The 27,681-nt window shown below is 40.4% G+C and overlaps 2 pseudogenes across 1 annotated transcript in view; one reads left to right on the top strand and one right to left on the bottom strand.

Moving 5' to 3' along the window:
• The window catches only part of HYDIN2 (HYDIN axonemal central pair apparatus protein 2 (pseudogene)), a 335,703-nt pseudogene that overhangs the window by 257,897 nt on the left and 50,125 nt on the right, over positions 1 to 27,681 (bottom strand). The window contains exons 10-12 of the transcript NR_103556.2: positions 26,718 to 27,040; positions 16,570 to 16,769; positions 6,670 to 6,794 (exon numbers count right to left, since the gene is read on the bottom strand). The product of NR_103556.2 is annotated as an HYDIN axonemal central pair apparatus protein 2 (pseudogene) (transcript). The remainder of the gene's footprint in view (positions 1 to 6,669; positions 6,795 to 16,569; positions 16,770 to 26,717; positions 27,041 to 27,681) is intronic.
• On the top strand, positions 24,475 to 24,597 carry RNA5SP536 (RNA, 5S ribosomal pseudogene 536; annotated as a pseudogene).

Here is a 27,681-nt window from a genome sequence, read left to right as displayed (position 1 = left end):
ACATTTATGGAAGGTGTACCCTTTTGAAGCGTACAGGGAACATTTACCAAAATGGAACATATTTTGGGTCATAATGTAAGTCTCAACTAATTTCAAGGCCTGAAATCGTATAGAACTTGCTTTCTGTCACTGGTAGGATTAAACAAGAAATCAATAACAAAAAGAGACCTAGAAAATTCCCTAATGTTTGAATATTAATCAACGCATTGCTAAATAGCCCATGTGTCAAAAAAGAAATAAAAATGTAAATTCTAAAATATTTTCAATCAAGTGTTAAAAACAAAATATGTAAAAACATATGGGCTGAAGATTGAGTCAATTTTAGAGGAAAATGTATTGTCTTAAATGCATGTATTATAAAAGAAGAAAGGCTGAACATCAATATTCTGAGCATCCCTGTTAAGATCTAGAAAAATCATAACAAATCAAACCTAAAGAAAGTAGAAGGCCTGAAAAAATGAAGAGGTGAAATCAATGAAATTGAGAAGTGAACAATAAAAATAATCAACTAAGAGTTGGTTCTTTGAATAAACTAAAAAAAACTGATAAACCCCTAACAATATAGTTCAAGAAAAAAAAAAGAGGAGGATACAAATTACCAATAAGAAAAGAGGAGATATCACCAAGGATCCTATAGCAAACAATGATTAAGAAGGGTTCTGAACAACTTTATGCCAAAATTTTAAGATTTTAGATTAAATGGAAAAGTTTATTGAAAAAGTTTAACAGAATCAATCATTAAAAAGCTGCCCCCCTTTTAAAAAGTGAGGTTAAACAAATGGCTTAAAGAATAAAATTTTCAATTATTTAAGGAAGAAATAACATGACTCTCTAAAACAATTTCTCTAGAGAATTAAGAAGAGAGAACAATTCCCAACTTGTTTTATGAGACCAATTTGTTTTGTTCTGACAAGGGCATTACATGAACAGAAAATTACAGGCCAATCTTTCTCATTAATTTGGATGCCAAATTCTTGAACAAAATATTAGCAAATATAATCCAATGATGTATTAAAATGATAATATACAAACTTGAGTTTATCCCAGAACACAGCAGGAATCTAGCATTTCAAAATCAACCATCGCATTAGAAGAATAAAGGTGAAATAATGTACAATCATGTCAACAAATGCAGAGTATTTGACAAAATTAAACATCTATTCAAGATTAAAAGTCTTAGAAACCTAGAGATAGAAGGAAATTTTTTTAACCTGATAGAGTCTCCAATAAAAACCTATAGCAAACATCATACTAAATGATGAAATACTGAGCACTTCTCTTCTGAGACTGAGAACAAGAGAAAGATATTTGCTGTCATTACTTCCAATGCACAGCATGCTAATGTCTAGCCTGTGGAAGAAAGAATAAGAAATGAAGAGCATAAGGATTGAACAAAATAAAAACTATTATTATCTGCAGATGACCTGTTTGTGTATATACAAAATCCAAAATCATCTACGGATAAGTCAGAAGTAAATTTAGCAAAGTCTGCAGATAAAAGCTCAATATACAAAACTTAACTGTAGTTTAATAAAGCCACATTAATTTAGAAAATAAGCTTGGGAAAAAATACCACACTAGCTATAAAATTAAAATAGATAAACTGTACTTCATCAAAATTAAATTGTTCTGCTAATAAAAAGACATTAAGAAAATTAATTTCTCACTGTGAGAAAATATTCACAATAATTATTTCTGGAAGACTTATATAAAGAATATATATATATATTTCTTTTTCTTTTTTAAGATGGAGTCTCACTCTGTCACCCAGGCTGGAGTGCAATGGCTTGGTCTCAGCTCACTGCAACCTCTGCCTCCCGGGTTCAAGCTATTCTCCCGCCTCAGCTTCCTGATTAGCTGGGACTACAGGTGCATGCCACCACACCCGGCTAATTTTTGTAGTTTTAGTAGAGATGGGATTTCACTATGTTGGCCAGGCTGGTCTTGAACTCCTGACCTCGTGATCCATTCACCTTGGCCTCCCAAAGTGCTGGGATTACAGGCCACCATGCCCGGCCAAGAATATATTTTTTAAAACTACAAGTCAACAACAAAATGATAAACTACCCCATAAAGAATGGGCAAAAGACTTAAACATGTACTTCAGAAAAAAAGACATCAAAATGGGCAAAAGCACATGAAAAGACACTCAACATCATTCATTATTAGAAAAATGCAAATTAAAACCAAAATGAGGTACCACTTTATACCGAGTAGAATGGCTAAAATTAAAAGACTGACATGACCAAGAGTTGATGAGAATGTGGAATTTCATACCTTCATTGCTGGTGGGAATATAAATAAAATGGTTCAACCACTTTAGAAAACCATTTGGAAGTTTCTTACAAAGTTAAGCATATGATGACTATATCACTCAGCAATTCTACTTTTAAATATTTACCCAAGAGAAATAAAAACATATGTATATCTGCACACACACACATACACGCACACACACACGATGTGTACAAGAATGGTTATTTTATTTTTTATTTTTTATTTTTGGAGATGGAGTCTTGCTCTGTTGCCCAGGCTGGAGTGCAGTAGTGCGATCTCTGCTCACTATAACCTCCGCCTCCCGGGTTCAAGCAATTCTCCTGCCTCAGCCTCCTGAGTGGCTGGGACCACAGGCACATGCCGCCATGCCTGCCTAATTTTTTTGTATTTTAGTACAGACATGGTTTCACCATGTTGCCCAGGCTGGTCTCAAACTCCTGAGCTCAGGCAATTCGCCTGCCTTGGCCTCCCAAAGAATGGTTACTAAAGCTTTACTCATAATAGCCCAAAACTTCAAAAATCCATATTTACATTAATAGGGGAATGAATAAATTATATGTAACCATACAGTAGAATACTTCTTAGCAATAAAAAGGGAGTTACTGCCATACACAAGGACATGGATAAATCTCAAAAACATTATGTTGAGGGAAAGAAACAAGACACAGAAGAGTAGATACTGTATGAGTGCATTTATTTGAAGTCCAAGAAGAAGGAAAATTAATATAGGGTGATAGAAATCAGAGCTTCTAGGTGGAGGATGGAGGGGTTGCCTGGGAATCAGCATGAGGCAGTGGCTGTTCTGTCTCTTGAATTGGGCAGTGGGTACATAGGTAGATACACTTGTCAAAACTTATCAAACTGTATATGCTCTGTGCATTTTATATTTAAATTATACCTCAATAAAAATACAATAAAAAACCACTTATACTAACATCAAAAACCACTGAATGCTTACAAATTAATGATTAAAGAACAAGTGAAGAAAGGACTTGAATAGGAATAGATCTAATGAAAATATTCAAGGCTTCTACATAGAAAACTACTGCTGAGAAAAAGTAAAGAAAACCAAATACATGGAAGGATAAACTATGTTTATAACACGATGGAGAGACAGGACTATAAAGTAGTAGGAAAGAAGGAACTAGTCTATAAATAATAATGAACAATGTGAAAAAGGCATACACTGGAGTCACTTTCAGGCAGCCAATGAAACTAGGGACTTCATCAAAATACTTGAGAAAATATTTTTATTTGTTTTATTTATTTATTAATTTATTTTTAGAGACAGACTCTCGCTCTGTTGCCCAGGCTGGAGTATAGTGGCAGGATCACCACAGCCTTGACTCCCAGGCTCAAGCAATCCTCCCACCTCATCTTCCCAAGTAGCTGGGACCACAGGCATGCACCACCACACCCAGCTAATTTGTGTTTATTTTTGTAAAGACGAAGTCTGGCTGTGTTGCCCAGGCTGGTCTCAAACTCCTGGGCTCAAGCAATGCTCCTGCTGTAGCCTCTTAAAATGTTGGAATTACAGGTGTGAGCCACCGCAGTCGGCTGAGAAAATATTTTTACAAATACTTTTAAATTGATCACTAACCTGATAGGACAATAAGGACATCAATGTGAAGACAAGCATACCAAGAAATAGTCTAGTGCCAAGGCTAGCCTTTGCCCTAATGGCTTTTGTGAACCTTCGGATTTCTGCTTTAAAGATTGCATTATGTGCCGAGGACAGCAGATAAAGTTCAGGGCCTGCCCAGAGTTGGAATTTCAAATCCAAAAATCACAAAACACAAAAAGACATAAGATACCCTGGTTGAAAACCAGCAGAAACAATAAACAGCAAACTAAATAAGTAGACTTAATTTGAATTATCAGATACAAAATATAAAAAAACCACACTTAATATATTTAAGAAATCAAAGGGAAACTTGAAAAATAAAAGAGGGGAGAGCAGTCAGATTTGATAAGAACTAAATAAAACTTCCAGAAATAAAAACAATAATAATAATTAAAAAGTTAAAACTCAGCAGGTGAGACTTCACTGAAGAGGGGATTATTGAATGGAATAATGAATAAAAAGAAAGTATCCAGATCAGTCTACAGAGGAAAAGAAATGGAAAATATAGAGGTAAAAATGAATGAATAACAGTGCAATAATAGATTAAGTATTGGAATAATAGAGTATTCCATATTCCAGAACAAGAAGGAAAACAGCAAATAATGCATATGGGGAAACAATGACACACGGCCTCTACATCACACATACACAAAAATTAAATAAAAGATGAGGCATTAACCTAAAGACAGGAGCTAAAACTATAACCCTTCCAGAAGTAAACATGGGAGATTATATTCATGATCTTGCAGAAGGCAAAGATTTCCTAGCACGGAGGCAAAAAGTGTTAATCTTGTAAGAAAAGAAAACTGATAACATGGATTTTGTCAAAATTCAAACTCGCTGCTTATAAAGAAATATTATCAAGGAAATGAAAAGGCAAGCTACAGACTTGGAGAAAATATTAATAATACATATATCTGACAAATGACTAGTATTTAGAATACTGAGTAATAAAAGGTACTTACAAATTAATAACAAAAGAATAAGCAAAGAAAGGTCTTGAACAGACACTTAAAAAGATAAATGAATGGCCAGTAAGCACCTGAGAAGGCACGCAACATCATTAATCATTAGGGACATGAAAATTAAAACCACTGATAGACATCGCTTTATACCACTAGTATGTCTAAAATTGACAAAACAGCACTACATGTTGGTGAGGATGTGAAGCAACTAGAACTCTCATGCCTTGCTGGTGGGAATGTAAAATGACACAACTATCTTGGAAAACTGATGCCCCAATGTGTTATGAGCTGTGCTTTCAGCCTTCTACCCTTTGGTTTTATGGGTCAAACGTTCCCCCTTTTCTTAAGCTAGTTTCTCTTGCTAGCAGCCAACGAGTGTGGCTAAAACTAATAGACAAAACAGATAGACCACATCACTGGCTGGTCTGTGGCATTGTTCTGCTGAGCAATGTGGAGCTAGGGCCACTTAACCATGGGACCTAAGGCAAGGGCTTGAGTCGTCCTGCTCAAATACACGTCCACAAAGCCAGCAACTCTGAACTACACTCTAGATGCCTTGTGCTGCTCCTTCTCTGGGTGTACCTTCAAGTTTCTATCTACACACAGATCACCCCAATCTACCAGTGTGACTTCCAGGGATGGGTTCTTTCCTGAGCCCTGCATTCCTCAAGTTTTCAAGCATCAATGACACCAGTTAGGTTGGATTTCTATCTGACTCCACATCATTTCTGTGGGTTCTTCATCTTGTGGATCTTAGCTTACTCTTTCCCCGGCTGTGCGCCTCTGTTTTCTCCCTACAACGCCCTTCTGCAGATAATCTGGGTCAATCAACATGAATGGGTGAAGCAGAAGTGAGAAGGAAATGAGAAAAAGCATAAAATAATAAATGGCAATGTAAAATATTAATTTGGAAGCCAACTTTGGAGACTGCATAATGTACATGCCATCTACATGACCATAAATTAAATATTTGCAACAATGTGTAATTTTCGTGATTATGGAGGGTGTGGCCTTCAAGAAAATACTAGTGGCAACAGATACAGTCCTATATTCCTGTAAGATGTTACGTAGGATATTTGCATGTTCTAAGGATTAAAGTAACCGGATCTTAATAGACTAGTGGGCACATATAAGAACATTCTGAATTGGGGTTTACATTTTTAAAATGTTAGACAAATATCACAATAAGTCAAATGGAAAACCCATGGGGCATTAAATTACCTGCAAATTTTAATATACAGACAACCTCAATCCACCAGTGTGGCTCCTGGGGATGGGCTCCTTCCTGAGTCCTGTATTCCTCAGGCTTTCAAGCACTGGGGACACCAGTTAGGGGGATTTCTGACTCCACATCATTTCTACTGGAGGCATTCATTTTTTTTTTTTTTTATCTTGTGGATCTTAGCTTACTCGAATGCAGCCAAAATAACCATTTCCTATTCAGCTTTATCATATTTCCCATCTGACCTTTTTAAATTTTTTAAAATTGATTTTGTTATTATTTATTTATTTTTAATTTCAGTGGTTTTTTGGAGGAACAGGTGGTGTTTAGTTACATGAATAAGTTCTTTCGTAGTGATTTCTGAGATTTTGGTGCACCCATCTCCTAAGCAGTGTACACTGTACTCAGTGTGTAGTCTTTTATCCCTCACCCTCCTCCTGCCCTCTCCCCCAAGTCCACAAAATGCATTGTATCATTCTTATGCCTTTGCATCCTCGTAGCTTGGTTCCCACTTATGAGTGAGAACATTCTCATCTGACCTTTCTTAATATGTAGAACTTTTAACAAAGAATACTGCATACCTGTGTCATAACACACGATAAGTCTTCCACTGTGATCGCCCACACTCTGTGGCTCAAACTCCACTTCCAGTTGCATGGACTCTCCCACATTAAGAGTTCCAATAGCTGGTTCTATAGAGAAAGGCCTGCAACACACAGAGAGGCACATCATCAGAGCATATTTCTGACTAGTGTGAGATGGGGAGGAAAGGAGACAGGAGTTCTAGTTCTGCAGACAGCTCAGACCCAGCACTGCAATTTCATGATCTAGAAGTGAAGTAGACTTTTGCTACGTAATGTGAAAGAACTTTAGTTTTAACGTTAAAATGACAGCATTAGATTAGCAATCGTAAGGGCAACTTAAACAATGCAACAATATTCTTGTTTGTGTCCTTGCCATTCAGCCCTGCTTTTAACATTCATTGAGTATCCCCGCTGGGCTCAGGCACTCAAGTTAGGGTGACTGCAAATGAATAAAATCCAGCCTTTGTCCTCAAACACTGAGATTGCTGTAAGGAACAGACTTAAAATATGTATGCAAATATTGTCATTTTCAAAAGAACAGTGCCTTCAAAGGGATAAAAATCGAGTTTTGCGAGAGTTCACAGGAGAGAGGGCATCATAGTGGAAAAATATATCTGAGCCCCAAAAGGAAAGGGATAGCACCCTCACTTGCCTTAGGATAATTCAGGACAGATGAACAGAGGGTCTATATTAAAAGGGTGGGAGGGGTGTAGAGGAACTACAGGAGATGATGCAATAGCCCAGGTGGTAACAGTAGCGCTGCCACAAAAGAGCCATGGAGAGAAGGCATGGTTTTTAAAACCGCAAGGAGAGGCCTAAGAGAAGGCTGCCTTATGGGGAGCAAGGAGACGTAGCCAAGGGAGACAGCAGCCCAGGTGGTCTCCCGGGGAAGACAATGGGGAAAAAATATCCTGACCTCACATCCCCTCCCATCTCATTGTCTACCAGACCCTCACTGGGTGAACACAACCAGAGCCAGAAATGCGAGTCGAGGGCTGTTGACCCAGGCTGTAGAAGCCAGCCTCCGGGGCTAGAGCAAACTGAAGAAGGGTGGAGAGTGCATTTGAAAAGGCAAACTGAGGACAAATTCTGTGTCTTGAAAATATAATTTGGGATGCAGACATTGTGGGGAGTGAGGGTTGATTTGGAAACAGGAAATAGTTTAATTGTTTTGGAAGAGAATAGTAAGAGGGAAGCTGGATCTGATGGTGAAATACCTTAAATAACTTAGAGAGTTCTTCCTAAATAGGAAACCCAGCCCATTTAATTATTTTCATGGTCCATTTCACTTCTTTAAATTGCTAGTTTTTCAAAGTAATGTGTTGTGTAATGCATCTGGCAGACCGAGCTGTTTCTGATTATTTACTTCGATCACAACAGTTCTTAGAGCTGTCATTCCTTAAATCTTCCCTTAGATGATGAACTCAGTTTCAGAAAATCTAAGCTTTCTGCTATAAGGATACAGAGTTTATGTCAGGGGTAGCACTGGGTGGCATCTGAGAGTATTACTACAGGACCTCAGGTGCTCCCTACTGTGAGCAATTGGTTATTTTCTCTGGTACTTTCTACTTGATCTCCTCTCTTTTCTTTTTTTAAGTTTAAAAAAAAATTTACTTTTTGTGGGTACACAGTAGGTATATATATTTATGGGGTACGTGAGATGTTTTGATACAGGCATGCACTGTGAAGTAATCCCATCATGGAGAATGCATATCCATCCCCTCAAGCATTTGTCCTTTGTGTTACAAACAATCCAATTACACTCTTTTAGCTATTTTAAAATGTACAATTAAGTTATTGACTATAGTAACCTTGTTGTGCTATCAAATAGTCTTATTCATTTTTTCTAACTATTTTTTAATACCCATTAACCTTCCCCAACTCCCCACCCAACCCCCACTACCCTTCCCACCTCCAGTAACCATTCTACTCTCTATGTCCGTGAGTTCAATTGTTTTGATTTTTAGATCCCATGAATAAGTGGATCTCCTCTCCTTTCACTTCCTGATTTTCCTGCTTCCTTTCCTTTTTCCTGTCCCCATACCTGTAGCACTGATTCACCAGTGAACCCCAGGCATTGCTGCAGAGGCACTCTGGGGCAGTGGTTACTAGCCTGACCTCTGGAGCCAACCGAATGAGTTCAAAACCCAGCTCTGCCACAACCTTGGGCAAGTCACCTAACCTTCAGTTTCCTTATCTGTAAAAGGAGGGTAATGATAGCACCTACTTCATATGGTTATAGTGAGGATTAAAGGGGTTGATATAGGTCAAGTGCTTAGAATAATGCCTGGCACAAAGGAAATGCTGTACAAGTGTTTATTATTCTTTTTGTTATGGCTATTTTTATCTCCCTCACTGGCAGCCTCTAGATGCTGTGTGATGAATCTGTGGATGTGTTTGGGTGTTTCGATGAGTTCAAGCTTTTATCATTCCCCCCTCACTCCTTCACACTGCTCTAGAGAGAGTGTAAAAAACACACACAGGTCATAACACATCAATCTCTTGTTCAAACACCTTCAGCGGTCCTCATCACCTGTGCAATCAAGTTCAAACTCCTAGGCATTTCAGGTCCCACACAATCTGCTCCCAGTAGGTTTTTGCATTTTCATTACACACATACATCTGTCCAAATATCCTATACACCTGTCATGTTCCAAGGCAGTGCTGGGGTGGGATGGGAGGCAGGCTTTAGTCTCTTCACCCACAACCTCCCCCAGCACTGCACCTGCTTTCTCTTCCCACCAGAATGTGGCCCCCACATAGACAATCGGAACTGCTAGGATCACATCAGGTGACTTGCCATTTCCCACATGCCATACTCCTTCTGAAGCCACCTCTCACAGCCCAGACTCAAAGTCACCTCTTAAATAGAATCTTTCCTGATTCTCCCTTTTGTGAATAGTATCTCTTTCCTCTCAGAGACTATAACTTCCCTTTTAGTTTATACAGTGGTTTACTTTGTACTTGAGTTGGTTTTCATGCCTGCCTCTCTCAATAGCTAGAAACTCTTGAGAAGAGAGGGAAGGGAAAACACAATCACGAGTCATCTTTGTGTCACTCATCACCCCATACATGGTTCTTTACTCAGGAGCCTCTCAGAAGAGGTTCTTAATTGAATTACAATAAACTCTTAAAGGTAAATAAAAATATTTGTAATCAACTATCAGTGTTTATGACATCGTGGTGGAATGAGAAGGAGCAAACCTTCAGTAGAATCTGTGCCTTGTGGGAAGTGACGGTGAGTCTCCCAGTCTCAAAGTTTCTTCCTTCCTTACGGCCTCAGTGAGAATCGGAAGAAGTGAGAACTGGGCCCAGTTTCCCGGCTTTAGGAACAACACCACCATATTTACTTCTATCCTTTGCCTCCCTACTTCCTAATATTTTTCTTCCTGCATTGTACTTTCATTTTATTTTCAAATATTTCTTGGTAGCAAAAGAATAGTTTTAAAATGAATTGGATATTATTATATTGCAGTACCTAAACTATTAATAATTTTTACAGAAAAAGTGATACTAGTATCCCATCTGTAAGACCTCCAGGAATCCAAGTTCCACGGAGTGGTAAGGGTTACTTTGCCTTTGTGCTAATCGTTGGGTTTAGGTTACACAAACTTCTTCAGTAGTTATAATCACCTGGGATTGCCATTGCTACTTACAGCTGCCTAACAGATGTTAATTGGGTAGAGTGTGTTAAGTTCTGGTGGTTACACATTGTCTATAATTTGATTTTGTACTTCATTTTACTAAAATGCAGACAGGCTGAACGGGCTAGAAAATATCAAGTATCAGAAAATGCTCTTACAAAGAAGTAAAAGGTGTTGTTCTTCAAGGGTATAAGGATGGTTCAGTCTATCAAAATATTTGGTTTTGATATCATATCTTGATTAATATCAAACAATTATGGAGGGAGTTTGGTTTTGTGAAAAATCATGAGCCATGAGAAAGATTTGAGTTTTTGTTCCATCAATTATGAGCTCTTCTTAAGAACTAAAACCATCCAAATGATTCAATATTTTAGCAGAAGACTAAATATGGATCCTACAATATTAAATATTGAATATAATATTAGTATTTATTCTTCAGATGATCTTTCTTGTTTAATTCCTTACTTGAGTTTTTAGATTTTGAAATTGCTTCTTAATCCTCTCTATTTCACCTTCCAATGTTAATCCTACTTTAATCATCAAAGTTATTCTGATACCTACTAGAGTTTTAGGTCAAATTTAACAATAATTGCTTATGTTCTCTGTACATTTTATAGCCCATTGCAGCCTCTTTTGTTAGTGTAAAATTATTATGCTTATTTTATAGCAGTTGGAGAATGTGTTTTATTTTATTTTATTGTAGAGGTTTATAGTTGTAGTTTTGCCTTTGTGATATATTGTTGGTTAGGCATCTTATAAACATTTATTGGGTGTTTATTTATTCTAGACAGATGCTGGGGACATACAAATGAAAAGAGTTAGATACAATCCTTCCATCTGAGAAGCTCACATTCGAATAAGGGTAACAGACATGCAAAGAAAGTTTTAGTTTTTGTGATTTATAAGAACCTAAGCATTTTATAAACTTAACCACTAATAAAATCATTATTTCAACGAGAAAAGGATGATCTGTTTTTTTAAACAATTTCCTGTGGGACATTATTTCTAGCTGTATATTGACACTAAAAGTGGGAGGACCATGGGCTTTTGACTCCAAATTCTCAAACTATATCCGCTGCTCTACCATGTCTATTAACAACCATATTAACTGAAGAACACTGTCTAGGAACAGAAACATCTGTGTGGTTTTTAGAACGGATCCTTGTCAGGGGATCTCCTTAGAGATTCTAACTCAATATGATGTGACCACAAATTCAACCACATTCTTTCTCATTGAAGCCATCAGCGTTCTCAGTTGCAAACAACAGAAGCCAGCTGTGGCTAATTTAAACAGAAAAGGGACTGACTGGAAGGACTTGAGGCAATTCACAGAATCAATGATAGTTGAAAAACATGCATTTTGTGGAGAAAACATAAAGCCATTATTTCATGAAGAGTCTAAACAGGAAAACAAAAATATTTGCAAACAGGGAATTTGAGAGACTTGGTTACACAGAAGATGGGAGAGGTGAGAACTCCAACTGAAGAAGGTGAGACAGCTCCGAGATTCATAACAGCGGTAAGCTTTTTCCACCCCTGGACTGGAAGCAAAAGGAGAGGAGGAAGTGTTATCAGATCCTGGGGACCAGGGTCACCTGGCAGAAGTTAGAACCGTGGCAGGCCAGCCTGACAGTGGCTAGAACCATGGAGGAGGTGCAGTGGTGGCTGGGGACTCTGCTGAAGACAAAGAGGGAAGAGGCTTCTTCCTTCTTCCTACTCTCCAGTCTCCTGCTAGTGTCCCTGACTGGTCAAACCTAGCTGGAATCTGGCTGAGCCAGGAGGCTAGGAAGGCTCAGGAAGCCCCACAGGGACACTGAGCAGCAGCGCAGGGGAATGGTGAGACATGTACCTGAGGGCAAACAAGCCCAGAGCTAGCCCATGTTTGCACGAATCCAGGTTTTGATGTTAACTTCCTGGGGGAGTTTGGGTAAGTCATTTAACTCCTCAGGCTTTACTCCCTTCACAGTAAAATGGCAATGCTGGGCCAGCATGTCTACTGTTGACAAATCCTGACCAGTCCCTGAGTTGCCTCCGACAAATCCTGGCCAGTCCCTGAGTTGCCTCCCATTTTACCTTAGAATTGTTTCTATATTAGGAAAACATAATTCATATTCATAGGTAGATGGATAGAAAGATTTTATATTTTTTTTGCAACTTCACACTATTAAATCTGTGAAGTGATTTTTGCTTCACATTTACATGAATCTAAAATATACGAAATTGCCATTTTGGCGTGGTTTTTTTCAAATTCAGCCAAACAGCGCAGGAAGATATGTTCCCGCACTTGCATATCCACCTTAGGTAGATTCTTTTTTTCATAGAAAAAAGAAATACCATTGTAACAGTTTTTAATGGGTATTGTGAATGGTGGTTGTGGGAGACCATTTTTTCAATTGAAAAAGATGGTTTTTTTTTTTTTTTTGAGACATGGTTTTTCTCTGTCACCCAGGCTGGAGTGCAGTGGCATGATCATGGCTCACTGCAACCTCGAGCTCCTGGGCTCAACCAGTCCTCTTACCTTGGCCTCCCAAGTAGCTGGAACTGCAGGTATGGACCACTACACCCAGCTTATTTTTTTGTTTTTTGTATTTTTTGTAGAGACGGGGTTTTACCATGTTGCCCAAGCTGGTCTCAAACTCCTGGGCTCAAGTGCTCCACTCGCCTTGGCCTCCCAAAGTGCTGAAATTACAGGCATAAGCCACCATGCCAGGCCAAGATGGGTTATTTCTAATTCATGGGAAGCCAGCTGAACAACCTGTTTCCTTCTCCTCCATCAAAATATGTGAGGTTTGCCATGAGACGACAAACAAGGCCTGTAGAGAATTTATGACCAATGTCTGGAGACACTGAGTTCCAAAAGAACTTTTCCTTTGCCTTTAGTGGTTGATTTATTTAAGGTGGTTTAGAATCTTGCTTCTACCTAGAATGCAGAAAGCTGGAAAGAATGTTTCTTTTACCCTAACCATAAGAAAAAGTGAAATAAATAACAAAATCACAACCTTTCTTGTGCCTGTCAGAGAGCAGAGGTAGCACATCAAATAGCCTGAAATCTAAAGACAGACCAACCCATTTCCCCCGAGGGGGATGGGATATGCACATACGGTTTAGACTGTGGCTTTCGCCTGTGGCAGGCAGAACTTTCCTGCAAGCAGAAGAAAAAGTGAAAGAGGATAGAACAAAAAAAAAATTTGGAGAGATAATAGCTGAGATTTTCCAAAATTAATGAAAGATTCAGGAAGCTCAGAGAACCTCAAGCAAAATTAAAACCCAAACCAAGCAAAAGCAAAACAAAATCTTTAAAACAAAAAGCAAAACATAAACAAAACTTACACCTAGACACATCATTTCCAAACTGCAAAAACCAAATAAATCAGCAAGTAGCCCAAGAAAAAGAGACAATTACATACAGAGGAACAAAGATAAGAATCACAGCAGACTTCTCATTAGAAAAATGTAAGTCAAAGGACAATTGAGTGACATATTTAAAGTACTGAGGAAAAAAATCTATATATAATTGTTAGCCCAGAATTCTATATGGTGAAAAAAAAAATCTTCCAAAAATGAAGGAAAAATAAACACTTTTTTCCAGATAAACAAAAACAGGGAATTTACAGTAGACTTGTGCTACAAGAAATATTAAAGGTAGTTTTAAGCCAGGAGAAATAGGATATCAGACAGAAATGTGGATCTACACGAAATAGTTCAGAGAGAGTGATTCACCTAGAGTACTTGGAGAAATAAACACAAATTCCCTCCCAAAGGATGTGCCCTCAACTGGCAATATGGCAGTGCTGCTACCCACAGTATGGCAAAGTGGGTCACTTGAAAACCCTCCCACCAGAAAATACCTAGAAAGACTGGATAAAAGATAATGTAAATAAATGCATAACTGAGCATGCACAAAAATAAGAAAAACTCATACCATTCCAAAACAAAGAGGAACCTAAGAACCACAGCAGTAAGCCACTGAGCTAATGATAGGACTGCCCTGGGTTCCCAGTAGCCCAGAAGCCTGGGTTTTTAATAGCCCTGCTGGAGCCGGAGACAAGGCCTCACAATGGTCAAGTTAGGGGACTGGTACCAGATCCCCGTATAAACCTGAGAAATGTGAAGGACTCCCCAAACACACTCCCATCAGCAAAAGAAAAAGTGTGTATCTGAGTTTTTAATTAAAGGAACAAAGTTTCTCTAGGACATTCATAACTTGAACTTGTGTCTTATGAAGGTGTGGGATTTGCATATGAGCTATCAGTCCAGGAACTCCTAAGGCAGGAAATTACCAAAAGAGTACTCCATGGTAGCCTAACTTTTGGGAATCAAGTAGAAGCAAATTCTAATCCCTTTTGGACAAATGAGTCATTAAGTCAGCAAAGGATGCCACAGATAATGCCCTTCTGAAAGAGAACTTAAATCCAGTATATACACACTACTTTTTAAAAACAGAACTTAAATCCAGTATATACATACCACTTTTTATAGAAAAGAACTTGAACCCCTGCTTCCTGTCTTCCCAAGCTGGTTGTTCTTTTTAAGACCCCACTGGTCAGCCACTTGCTCTCATGCCCCAAAACAAATCCTTCTTTCCCATCTTATAAGAGAGGTCCTTGAGAGATGGGGTTGTTTCATCATTCTTATACCAGCAGTCCCCAACCTTTTTGGCACCAGAGACTAGTTTCATGGAAGGCAATTTTTCCACAGATTGGGGGTGGGGTGGATATTTTCAGGATGATTCAAGCACATTACATTTATTGCACACATTATTTCTATCTTATTACATTGTAATATATAATGAAATGATTACACAACTCACCATAATGTAGATCAGTGGAAGCCCTGAGCTTGTTTTCCTGCAACTAGACGTTCCCATCTGGGGGTGATGGGAGACAGTGACAGATCACTGGGCATTAGGAGCATGCAACCTAGATCTCTTACACGCACAGTTCACAATAGGGTGTGTGCTCCTATGAGAATCTAATGCCGCGGCTGATCTGACAGGAGGCGGAGCTCAGGCGGTAACGCAAGTGATGGGGAGCAGCTGTAAATACAGATAAAGCTTTGCTCTCTTGTCCACCACTCACCTCCTGCTGTGCAGCCTGATTCCTAAAAGGCCACGGACTGGACCGGTACCAGTTCATGGCCTGGGGGTTGGGGACACCTGCTTTATACTGTCCCATGGTGTCTACACTGTGGTTAGTCCACAAATACTCAGATTAAAATCCAGCTCTATCACTTACTAGCTCTGTGCTCTTCAGGAAATGATGTGACCTCTCTATCCCTCAGTTTTCTCATCCTCCAAAGCCAGCAACAGCAGATTGAGTCCCTCTCACAGCGCACCACGCTGAACTCTTCTGCTTCCTTCTTCTATTTTTAAAAGCCCTTGTTGGTTACACTGGGCTCATCCAGTGAATCCAGGATTATCTCCCAATTTTAACATTAGCTGATCAGCAAATTTAATTATATCTGCAATATTAATTCCCCTTTGCCATACAACATGATACAGTCACAGGTTCTGGGGATTAGGATATGGACATGTCTGGAGAGCCATCATTCTGTCTACCACACTGGCCATAGCTCATTTGAAGGAAAAAGAAAAGAGCAAACACCGATTATATAGCACTTGATATATACCAGCAGTTTCTGTTGATTATCCCAACAACCTTATGAAGTGGCTGGTATACTTTTCCCCATTTTTCAGAGAAGAAAACTGAGGGCCATGAGCCAAGGAATGTGGGCGGCCCCTAGAAACTGGAAAAGGCAAAGAAATGTACTCTCCCCTCAAGCCTCCAGAAGGGAATGCAGCCCTGCTCTCACTTTGATTTTAGCCCAGTGCAACTTCTGACCCACTGAAAAGTAAGATAATAAATTTGTGTTGTTTTAAGCTACTGAGTTTGTGATAATTTGTTACAATGGCAACAGAAAACTAATCAAGCCAGTTATAAAAATTCTCAGTCAAGACAAATTTATTTCTATATTCTCATGGGCCATTCTCTGTACTAAAAGAAGGACTTTTATCCAGCATTTTGAAGAACCAAAAAGAGGATTTAGTATAATATGGATATAAGATATTAAACCTTGAATTTTTGTTTCCTCTGAGGATGAAGAGGAAGTCTACCCTACATCAGTGAGGTCTCCCAGCTTTGCAACTGAAGACTGTAACAAGCAATTCCACCCCCCAATGTTATGGTAGCAAATTACTTGAGCTGACTAGATTTAGCTATAATCAATCAAAAACAAGAGCTAAAGGCATGCATACCTACAAGTTTTGATGTGAAATACAGCATTTTTGTTGCCAATGTTTCGTACCAGCAGAATCTTCTGGGTGCTGTATTTGACAGGACAAGTGGAAAAATTCAGCTTGTCAGGAAAATCGAGAATGGCTCGTGCCCCTCTAGCTTTGATGGGTACAATAAACTTTTCTCTTTCAGTAACACAGGTCAACGTATGGGCGTAATCCTACAAGGGAAGGGTATGATCATTATTTGTGGAAAAAGCAACATGATCACGATAACTGTTCAAGAAAAGGGTCGATGAGAGGCATTTTGCAAAACAACTTTTAGTATAGTTCTATGAAAACATCTTAAAACAATTACAGAAGTACTTTCAAATGAGATTGTCTTTTCTGAGAGAGAGAGAGAGAGAGAGAGAACAGATCTAGTGTTAAAACCTACAGCTGGTAGAGAAGCTATGCTTCATGTGTCTGTCAGGCAATAGGGAGGTAGGATGAAGGTCAGTGGAAGGCCAGGCCCATTTCTCCCGTAGATCCAAGAAGATTCACAACAGTTCCCTCAGGTCCTCCTTCCAAACCCCACTTCTCCTTCAAGCCCATGTATTAGAATGATGTTTCTTTTTTTTTTTTTTTGAGACAGAGTCTCGCTCTGTCGCCCAGGCTGGAGTGCAGTGGCGCAATCTCTGCTCACTACAAGCTCCGCCTCCCGGGTTCCCGCCATTCTCCTGCCTCGGCCTCCCGAGTAGCTGGGACTAGAGGCACCCGCCACCACGCCCGGCTAATTTTTTGTATTTTTAGTAGAGACGGGGTTTCACCGTGTTAGCCAGGATGGGTCTCGATATCCTGACCTCGTGATCCACCTGCCTCGGCCTCCCAAAGTGCTGGGATTACAGGCGTGAGCCACCGCGCCCGGCCGATGTTTCTAACTAATGGCCTCTTTCTGCCTATACTCTTTGCAATGTGACTTTGCAGCTCCTCCATCAAGTAATGAGTCTCCACTCCACTTGCTTTCAGCAATACAAGGTGGCCAAAGTTATGCTATGCCAGTTTCAAGCTGAGACCTCAAGAAGCTTTGGGTCTACCCAGTCTTGTTCTTGGAACCCTGCCAATGGCATGTGAACAAGCCTGGTCCAGCCTACTGCAGGATGTGCACCTGGATGCTCCAACCAAGACCATGCTAGACCAGCCTAGAGCCAGCTGATCCCCAGATATGTGAGCCCAGCCACAATAAGCAGAGTTCCCTACCTGATGAGAGGGCCCAGGCAACACCAGAAAAACCACCCAGCTGAACCACAGTCTTGTGAGCAATAATAAGTGCTTATTATTTTAAGCCACTAAATGTGGGATTGTTTGCAATCATACAGAACTAGCTAACTGATGCGTAAGTCAGTTGAAACCTCACTTCTTGCACAAAGCCATTTCTGACCATTCCAAATAAAAATGCTGAGGCCCTAGGCATCTCTCTTCTCCAGTCATGAGTTTAAATGCAACAGAAATGCTGAATAAAGTCACTCTTTATGCCATCTCATAAGATAGAAATAGAATATTTGCCTGCAGTGTAGCAAAGAAAAAGTTAAAAGAAGTCACCATAAAAGGTATCTGATATCTAAAAAAAGCTTTGTTTTCCTTCATTTTCTCATCCTTTTATTGTGTGTTTTAGCTGCAAGGAGTCTTGATTAATGAAAAGTCATTTTGAACAGAAATTTCCTTTTGGTAACCATGTGATAAACGGTAGTAAGTGGTGGAGGTTTTAAAAAAAGCTCTTTTTGGGCTTTGGACATAGAATAAGAATGGGACCATCTGGCATACAAATTGGCATACAGGGCTGGCCACATACTCAACCTCATGAAGCCACAGGACAAGCATAAAGCAGTGGCATCCCCAGTTTATTCATTCAACTATGTTCATTAAGTGCCCAGGTGCCAGCACAGCACTGTGCTAGGTCTAGGAATACAACCAATTAGGAAATGCAGACATGGTCACGGTCCTCCTCCAGCTCACATCAGGATGGAGGAGACAATGAACAGATGAATAAAGGATATGTAATGTACAGTGCAACTCACATATAAATAAATATAAAGCTAAAACTGCCAGGAATGCTCACAAATAGCCTTTACGCCTGTAGTTCTATCTGTCCCCTTGGGCTCCAAACTCATAACCAGCTGCCCAGTCAGCATCTCATTGGATATAAACTTATGTCCCAAACCAAAGCTCCTGATGAATGTCACTGCCTGCTACTGTGCATAAAGATTTCTGCTGAGGGCCAGGAATGGAGGCAAAACAGCTTCAGCCCAAAGGGGGAACCTTTTTCTAGTACCCACAAAGGCTCCACAAAGACAGCTAAGGTCTGACCCTCTCTCCAACTGCAGCATCTCTCCAGCGGTCTGGCTTTAGAACCCTGAAATGAGGCATCCTTTCATGCTCGATTTCTCAATTTCTTGATACAATCCATAGGATCTACCTTCAAAATATATCCAAACTGCAATCACTCTTCACCACCTCCACCCCCGCCACCCTGGTCCTAGCCACTCCGATCTTTCCCAGGCTAACAGGACTTTCTATTTCAACCGTTGCTCTCCTAAAGTCTATTTTCCACCCAAGGGTCAGAGGGACCCAGTAAAAATGTAAGTCAGCTCAGGCTGCTTCTCCGCTGAAAAGTACCTAGGCTGAGGCTGGCGCACTTGCGAAGGTCCCGTGGTCTGGTGCCCCCATCGCTTCTCTGGCCACATCTCCTCCTCTCCCCTGGTTCCCCCTGCAGCCACAGGTTTCCCCTTCAGAGCCTTTGCACATGATGTTCTCTCCTTCCCTCTACTTATTCGTGGTGCTCACCCCCTCACCTCTTCAGCACTTGGCACGGCGATCCACTGTCTCCCCGAGGCCTCCCGACTGCCCTATTTTCAATAGAACTCTCCCTCTCCTGCCCCATCACTCCCTTACCTTCTGTCCAGCTTTAGTCTTGCCCAGAGCCATCTAGTATATCGTATATTCTACCTCCCCAGTGAGTGTAGTGCATGTCTCCCCCGTATTTCCATGTCAAGAGGGATTTGCCCATCTTCTTGCCTTCTGTATACCCAGTACCTAGAACAGAGCCTAGTATCTAGCAACTACTCAACAAATACTTCCCGAAGGAAGGAAAGTCGGTAACAGAACATTTGGTAGTGATGAGTGACGGGAAATAAATCATGATATGGGGACAGAGAGACTGGAGAGCTCTTTTACATGGCGTGAGGGGGGGGGGGCGGTCAGGAAAGGCCTCTATGAGGAGGTGACACTTCAGCAGAGACATGAGTGACAAATGAAGCCATGTGGATGGATGGCTGTCTGGGGGAAGTGTGATTTGGAACCTGTGGCCAGAGGGGAGCAAGGGAAGGAGTGTGGTTAGACACATGGCCAACAGGTTGTGGCGGCCAGATCCCAGAGATCTTGTAAGCCATTGTTAGGACGTGAGAGGGCTGAAGGCATTCCCAAGGCTGAAAGCTGATCTTGATGTAACCTGAGTAACGTTTTAGAAAAAGCGCTGGCTGCTATGTGGGCCACGGACTGCAGCGGGAAGAGGGAGGCCAGTTAGGAAGCCACTGCTGTAGTCCAGGCATGAGATGACACAGATGTGGACTTGTGTGGGCAAGTACTTAGCCTAGCATTTAGCAAGTAGTAAGTACTCAATAAATGTTAACTGTCCTTATCAGACTTTTGTATTAAGTACAATTTGTGTAAGGCATATAGGAAAAATTCAACATATGTTTACTCTCGTTGGTAGGGAGCCATCTAGCCATCTATATACTGATAAGGATAATAATAATAGAACAAGATAATTTCAGAAAGTGATGAGGGCTTTGAAGAAAATAAAGCACAGGAAAGTGATAATATCGGATGGGGTTGATTTAGGTTAGAATAACTAAAGAGGTCTTCCTGAGGAGGTGACCTTCGGATGGGGACCTGAACAGCAAAAGGAGCCAGTTGGGTGAGATCTAGGAACAGAGTGCTCCTGCCAAGGGGAACTGCAAACATACAAGTCCTAAGGCAGGAGTGAGTCATAAAAAGGAATAAATAGGATTCAAGAAATTGATTAAAACTGGGTTGCTAGTATATTTTTAAATAAAGAATGTAACTGGATTGTGTGTAACTCAAAGGATAAATGCTTGAGGGGATGAAACCCCATTCTCCATGAGGTGCTTATTTCACATTGCATGCTTACATCAAAACATCTCATGTACCCCATAAATATATATATCTACTGTGTACCCACAAAAATACTTTTTATTTAAAATATATCTTTTAAAATGGCTGGGCGTGGTGGCTCAAGTCTATAATCCCAGCATTTTGAGAGGCTGAGGCAGGTGGATCACTTCAGGCCAGGAGTTCAAGACCAGCCTGGCCAACATGGCAAAACCCAGCCTCTATAAAAATTAGCGGGGCATGGTGGCTCACACCTGTAGTCTCAGCTACTCAGTAAGCTGAGGCAGAGAACTGCTTGAACCCGGGAGATGGAGGCTGCAGTGAGCCGAGATCGCACCACTGCACCCCAGCCTGGGCGACAGAGTGAGACTCTGTCTCAAAAAAATTAATAAATAAATAAAATAAAAACAAAAATAAAAATAAAATTTTAAAAATTGAGTTGTTAGACTCTTAGCTCTGCAATTGATTCTGGTTTCCAGATGGTAATGCCAGACTCAAAACTTATGCTATCTAGACATGAGGAAGCACAAATTACACTAAGCACACTTGATCTTAGAAAACCCCACATAATTCAACAATGCAACAGCCTAGTCTGATTACTACAGAATCCTAAAGAGATAAGTACTATTTTCGCTTTTTCTTAGGCGATCAAATCCAGCCAGCATATGTTTTTTTGGGAATTATAAACTGAAAAGCCCCTGGCACATGTGGAGACTGAGCATTAACTGAGGCGTTGAGAGCTAGAACAAAAGATGCTGCTGAATCCAGGATAAGAGGAGATCCTGAAGTGTTTGTCTCATTTTATTCTGTACTCACATATCCGCTGCCTTGTTCTAGAAGGAATTAAAGGCAGCTGTAAATAGTTTAGGAGGCTAATTGAAATACTGAGAGAGATGTTTTCAGACCTTTTCAAGTTCCCAAATAAGGAAGGTTTGAAGTTTGATTTGCCTTATAAATTTTTTCATAATCAATTCACACACCCATAAAAGAATATAAGGTTCTTTAAACAAGTCCCTTAAAATGTATTCCAATCTCTGAAGTTATGCACTTAATATGACTATATTAGATCATACATCATTATATATTGCTCTGCTGGCTTACAATTAATTCAGATGTTATGACTAGGGAGGCTCTGATGGCCTGCAGGCTTAAGCAATCACTTCAGTTGATGAACTGAACACCCAGCCTCACAAACCTGCTTTTCCTCCTCTGTTCCCTATCTCTGTAAATGACACCACCATTTGACCAGTTGTTAGCCAAAATCCTACAGTTCAAACTAGGTGCATTTCTTTCTCGTATCATCGATCCATCAGTAAATCCTGGCAGCTGTACAATAAAAGTATACATCCGGCTGGGCACAGTGGCTCATGCCTGTAATCTCAGCGCTTTGGGAGGCTGAGGTGGGCGGATCGCCTGAGGTCAGGAGTTCGGGACCAGCCTGGCCAACATAGTGAAACCCCATCTCTACTAAAAATACAAAAAATTAGTTGGGCGTGGTGGCAGGTGCCTATAATGCCAGCTACTTGGGAGGCTGAGACAGGAGAATAGCTTGAACCCAGGAGGCGGAGGTTGCAGTGAGCAGAGATCACACCATTGCACTCCAGCCTAGGCAACAAGAGCAAAACCCTGCTTCAAAAAAAAAAAAAAAAAAAAGTATACATCCTTACTCCTCCTACTTCTCATCACCTTCACTGTCACCACCCTCATCCAAACTTCCTTATCTTTTACCTGAACTACTATAGTAGCCTCTGCCCCCTGTATGCATCAGGGATCAGTCAGCTACGTTATAAAAGGAAAAAGAGCAAAATCAGAGCAGTTTACACTAGGCAGAAGTTTATTTATCTTATACAAAGAAGTCCAGAGGTAGGTAGGCCAGGTCGGTAGGGTGGCTCAACAGTGTCATCAGAGACTCAAATTCCTAAATTCCTGCTCTACCATTCTAGCATGCAGTTCCCATCCTCGATGTCACCCTGTGGGGCAGAGTTGTAACCACCCAATGGGTTCTTCCAGCCTGCTCCCCAGAGAGAGCCAATTTATCAAGACAGGGCAATTGCAATAGAGAAAGTTTTACACATATAGAACTGGCTAAACAGGAGACTAGAGTTTTATTATTACGCAAATCAACCGCCCTGAAAATTTGGAGACTATGGTTTTTTAAAGATAGTTTAGGAGAGGGGGGTGGCTAGGGAATGGGTGCTGCTGATTGATTGGGGGTGCAATCATAGGGGTGTGGAAAATGGTCTTCATGAGCTGCTAAGTCCACTTCTGGGTGGAGCCGCAGGACCAGTTTGTGGGTCTGGGTGGAGCCATCCATTTTCAGAAACGCAAAAATCTGAAAAGGCATCTCAAAAGGCCAATCTTAAGTTCTACAACAGTCATGTTATCTGCAGGAACAACTGGGAAGTTGCAAATCTTGTGACCTCTGGAATAATGGTTGGTAATTATTTATATCTACATGTTAACAGAATTCAGGTTCCTCTCATCCTCCTAACCTGGTGATCTTTCATCAGCTTTACACAAAGGTGGTTTAGTTTTGAGGAACAGATACAATCTTTTAAACTATAAACTAAATTTCTCCCAAAGTTAACTTGGCGTAAGCCCAGAAATGAGTAAGGCATTTTGGAGGTTAAAAGCAAGATGGGGGTTGGTTAGATCAGATCCCTTTCACTGTCATAATTTTCTCACTGTTATAGTTTTTGCAAAGGTGGTTTCATAATGGAGAAAACAGCAGACACTAACCTAATGGAGTGCTCAAAATAAATAACACCATTAATAAGTCATATATCAGCATCATGAATCCCTTGGCATGATGTGCTGAAAAGGGATACAGTATCATTTCTGCGGTATTCTTGCCAAAATGGCATGACTTCACTCTAATCATGACAAAACATTAGACAAACCTAAAGTGAAGGACATTCTACCAAATTACTAATCAGTGTATTTATAGGTAGACAGGCATAAGCAGGGCAGGAGTGGGCTTTTCCCCCACCCACTAAAAATGTCAGGTGATGGTTTGGCAGTTATCACATTGCCTCTCTAAAAGTGATAAATTGGCAGCCAGCACCAGGGAGAGGCCTTTTCCTGATGGTCCACACCTGTTGCACTAAAGAGTGAACTGAGTATAGGTGCCAGGGAAACACAACTTCCTAGACATGCGCATTAGGAGATAAAATGGCAGGGTATGACCTTCCAAGGGCACGCCATGAGAAAAGGGAAGAAAGCCTCTAATGGGCATGCATACAACTTCCTAAACACAGTGCACATGCTCATCTCCCAAGGGTAAGGAGGGCTCTGTGCATGAGGGCAGCCTACTTTAAGGGAAGAATCATGGGAAAGAGGCCAGCCTATAAAGTCTTAGGATCAAGGTTAAACACTACTCTTGACCTTCACATGCCCACTTGGGTCTCTTCCAAGCATACTTTCCTTTCTTTCCTGTTCTAAAGCCTTTTTAAATAAACTCCCACTCCTACTCTGAAAGTTGCCTTGATCTCTTTTTCTGCCTTATGCCCCTCAGTCAAATTCTTTCTTCTGAGGGGGCAAGAACTGAGGTTGCTGCAGACCTGTATGGATTTGCCACCAGTAACTCGGATACCTTCCACTGGTAACAATCAGTATCCTTCAAAGAGTGCCAAAGTTATGAAGGATAAGGAAAGACTAGGGAACTGTCACAGATTGGAGTCAACTAGGGAGAAATACAACTCAATACAATGCGGGGTCCCGGATAGGCTCCTGAGGCAGAAAAATGATATTTGGGTCTATGGCCATACCACCCTGAATGCACCCAATCTTGTCTGATCTTAGAAGCTAAGCAAGGTTAGGCCCGTTAGTACTTGGATGGGAGAAAAATGATATTTGCAGGAAAACTGGTAAAGATCAGATGAAGTCTGTAGCTTAGTTAATAATATTGTACCGATGTCAATTTCCTATTCTTGATAATTAAAATGATGAGAGAGATTCAACATAAGTGGAAGCAGGGTAAGGGATTAAAGGAACACTTTCTAGTGTTTTTGCAATTTCTTAAAGTCTAAAATTCATTCAAAATAAAATAATGCTTTAAAACCAAAAATAAATAAATAAAATGGGTCTCTTCTATTAAGGGTTTTCTAGAAACCTCCATCTTTCCACCACTCTCCTATAAAAGTTTTAAAACATTTTCAAAAGCCACTTATCACTATTCTTAGACTGCCAGTGATCAAAAGGGCAGCCTCGCGGGTTGCAAATTAGTGAAGAAGAGAAAGCTAGAAGGAAGAGGAAGTGGAGCATCTGAGGGAAAGATTTTTAAATGAACTTCTTTGTGTTGCTAAATTTATTCGTATCCTGGAATGGGCTACAACCATCACAAGGACATAAAAATCATCAGGTAAATTCAAGGACTTTTTAAAAATGCATCTAATCACCTCCTGTCCAAAACATTCAAGCTTAACCTTTCTCTTGAAAATGCAATCTGCTCTTTACACCCTGCCTGCATACCAGATTCTGAGACCTAGATTGCCACAGGAGCAGAATCATCACCTTGTCCTGATTCAATAGGTTCTTGTTGTTACATTATCAGCTTAAGATCCTGGGATATGTGGAGATGTGCCTATTCATTACTGAAAGAGTTCATGCACAATTTATGTCCTTCACATAACTTTGTCCTTAAAGGCTATTTTCTGAATCCATTTCAGTTATGTTTTCCCAACAGCCATATTAGGAGGTGACTGTTGTTTTTCCATATTCAAAGTAAAAGAAATGAGACAAATATCTCAAAATGATTGAGGTGCTCACAATAAAAATGTAGTGGTAAAGATAGTACCAGATCTCGTGTCTGTAGCTTCTGTGCCCTCTTTCATAGTCCAGAGGACTGAGCTACTCTAGCAAATGGGTATATGAGAACTGGTGACCACAGTTAATCCAGCTGACATGACACCAGCCATTACATTCAAGTGCAGTGATGTATTTTGCATTGCTCAGCTCTTTCTACTTTTCAAAGTCCTCTTCACATATTTCATTGAATTTGATTCTCAAACCACATTGTAATGTAAGTAGAATAGCTATTTCCTTTTAGTAATCGTAACATCATGCCATTCAATATATAAATAAAGCCCCTTTATTAACATTACCTTATCTAGGTCCCACTAAAAGAAAAAATATAAAGTAGTAGAGTCCCCATTTTCTAGATAACTGAGGCTCAAAGATTGACTGGTCCAAAGACACCCAGGCAATGAAGGGGAAGATGGAATGTAAGAGCAAGTCTTTTTGACTCATTATCCAGTCATATTTCCCCCACTGTGCAATAGCTGCATAGCAAAATGAAGAAAAATTACAAGTTTCTGACTATGAGTCCAAAAATGAGTTAACATGTGATTTTATGCTAGAAGATAATCTAATGAGGTCACTCTGCTTAGCTGCTTAGCTACCGCTGTTATCCCAATGGGACTGGGCAAGAATAGAACCAAGTCATGCAAGTAAGAGTAGCACCTGATTGGGCACTGGGCTTGGATTCAGGTTGTTATCTCTATGGATAGCTGTGGTTCACTGAGGAACCATTCCAAAGATGTTAGAAGAGCCAGACAGAACCTACATTAATTCATTGGTTAAAGCTCAGAAATAATCATGAGGTCTCTGAGACAGGAGACAATTAGACATAGGATGGCTCCTATTATACACAAAATTTCATTGAGTCAGCTCTCTCCGCTTTACTTCTTGCCCTAGTATATCTTAAATATGTGGTTTTCCCCTTGCCTAATCCAGGAAAGCTGGATTTCATAACTAACAAGACTTTAGACTTGTGCTTCACCTTTCAGCATGCTTCTGGGTTCCATGATGTCCCAGAGCCTATGTGCTTATGATTAAAAAAAAAAAAAGAAACTGAAGAGGGACCCCAGTCTGCAGGAGTGAGATGGGCATGGGAAGAATTACATTTTCTCTGGTTCCTGGGTATGCTGAAGATGACATCCAGGAGAAAACTTCTGGCCCCTCAAACTGCCCCATAGCTCAGCCTGCGGGCTGCGACTTACAGTGACATCAGCAACATGATGGATTCCATCGCCAGCAGCCTGGACTCCAGGAGGCACCCCAGGCGTGGCCGATGTGCACAGGTAGGAGCATGTCCTCTGCGTGGCCTCTGCACTGGAAGAGCTTCAAGGCCTTTTCCTCCAGGGCTGAGGGGATTTGTGTTTCGCCTCTGTTTGTTTTTGTGTACTTCTGTTTGGCGAAACTTTCAAGCACGCAGAGCAACGTTCTGATAGATAGTGCAGAGAGGAGCTGCGCAGCATCCTGGAGCCGAAAGTTACAAGGAAGAGACCAAAACCGGTAAAGTCACGGATGTTGTGGCCCGAACCTGTAAATCCAAACAATCTCACAGTTATGAAATGGAAAATTTGTGGGGAAAAACAAATGCTTTGGTTATTACAGTGTTACTACATTCATAAAATGTATTTCATTTGGGGGAGTTTACACTGGGGGTAATGAGATTTTTGCTTTATGCGTTATTTATAACCGCTTAATCCAGGTACTGTGGGTTTTTTTAATTCCTTCATTTTCACAGCTACAAAACACTTCAGCATTTCTAATTTATTTCTGCTTACAATACAGATGTTCTTAGTTGTGTTTCTAACTATATTTCAACCGTTACGATCACGTTTGTTTGTGTCAGCGCACAAGCCGGGGTTGTATGTGCAATACACAATAGTAAGGCTTCAAGAAGCCTGTAAAAAGGCCTCTTGTGCTTTCATTATCAACAAATTAAAATATGCTGCATGGCACTATCTTTATCATCAGTGGTTTTAATCTTTGGATAATTCCCCTGCAGTTGGGTAGGCAGAGTGACAGCCCTCTCTCAGTGTAGAAACACTGCATGCCTTAAAATGGCACTTTTCAAGATGACCATTTGGAAGCAACATTTGGAGAACACTTGGGTTATGTCCTCTAACTGAATTTCCAAGCTGTTGGTAACGGACTAAAGAAAATGTAGTCTGTACT

The sequence above is a fragment of the Homo sapiens genome, chromosome 1, assembly GCF_000001405.40.
Source record: "Homo sapiens chromosome 1, GRCh38.p14 Primary Assembly".
NCBI lineage: Eukaryota > Metazoa > Chordata > Mammalia > Primates > Hominidae > Homo > Homo sapiens.
This window is presented reverse-complemented; position numbering and strand designations above follow the sequence as displayed.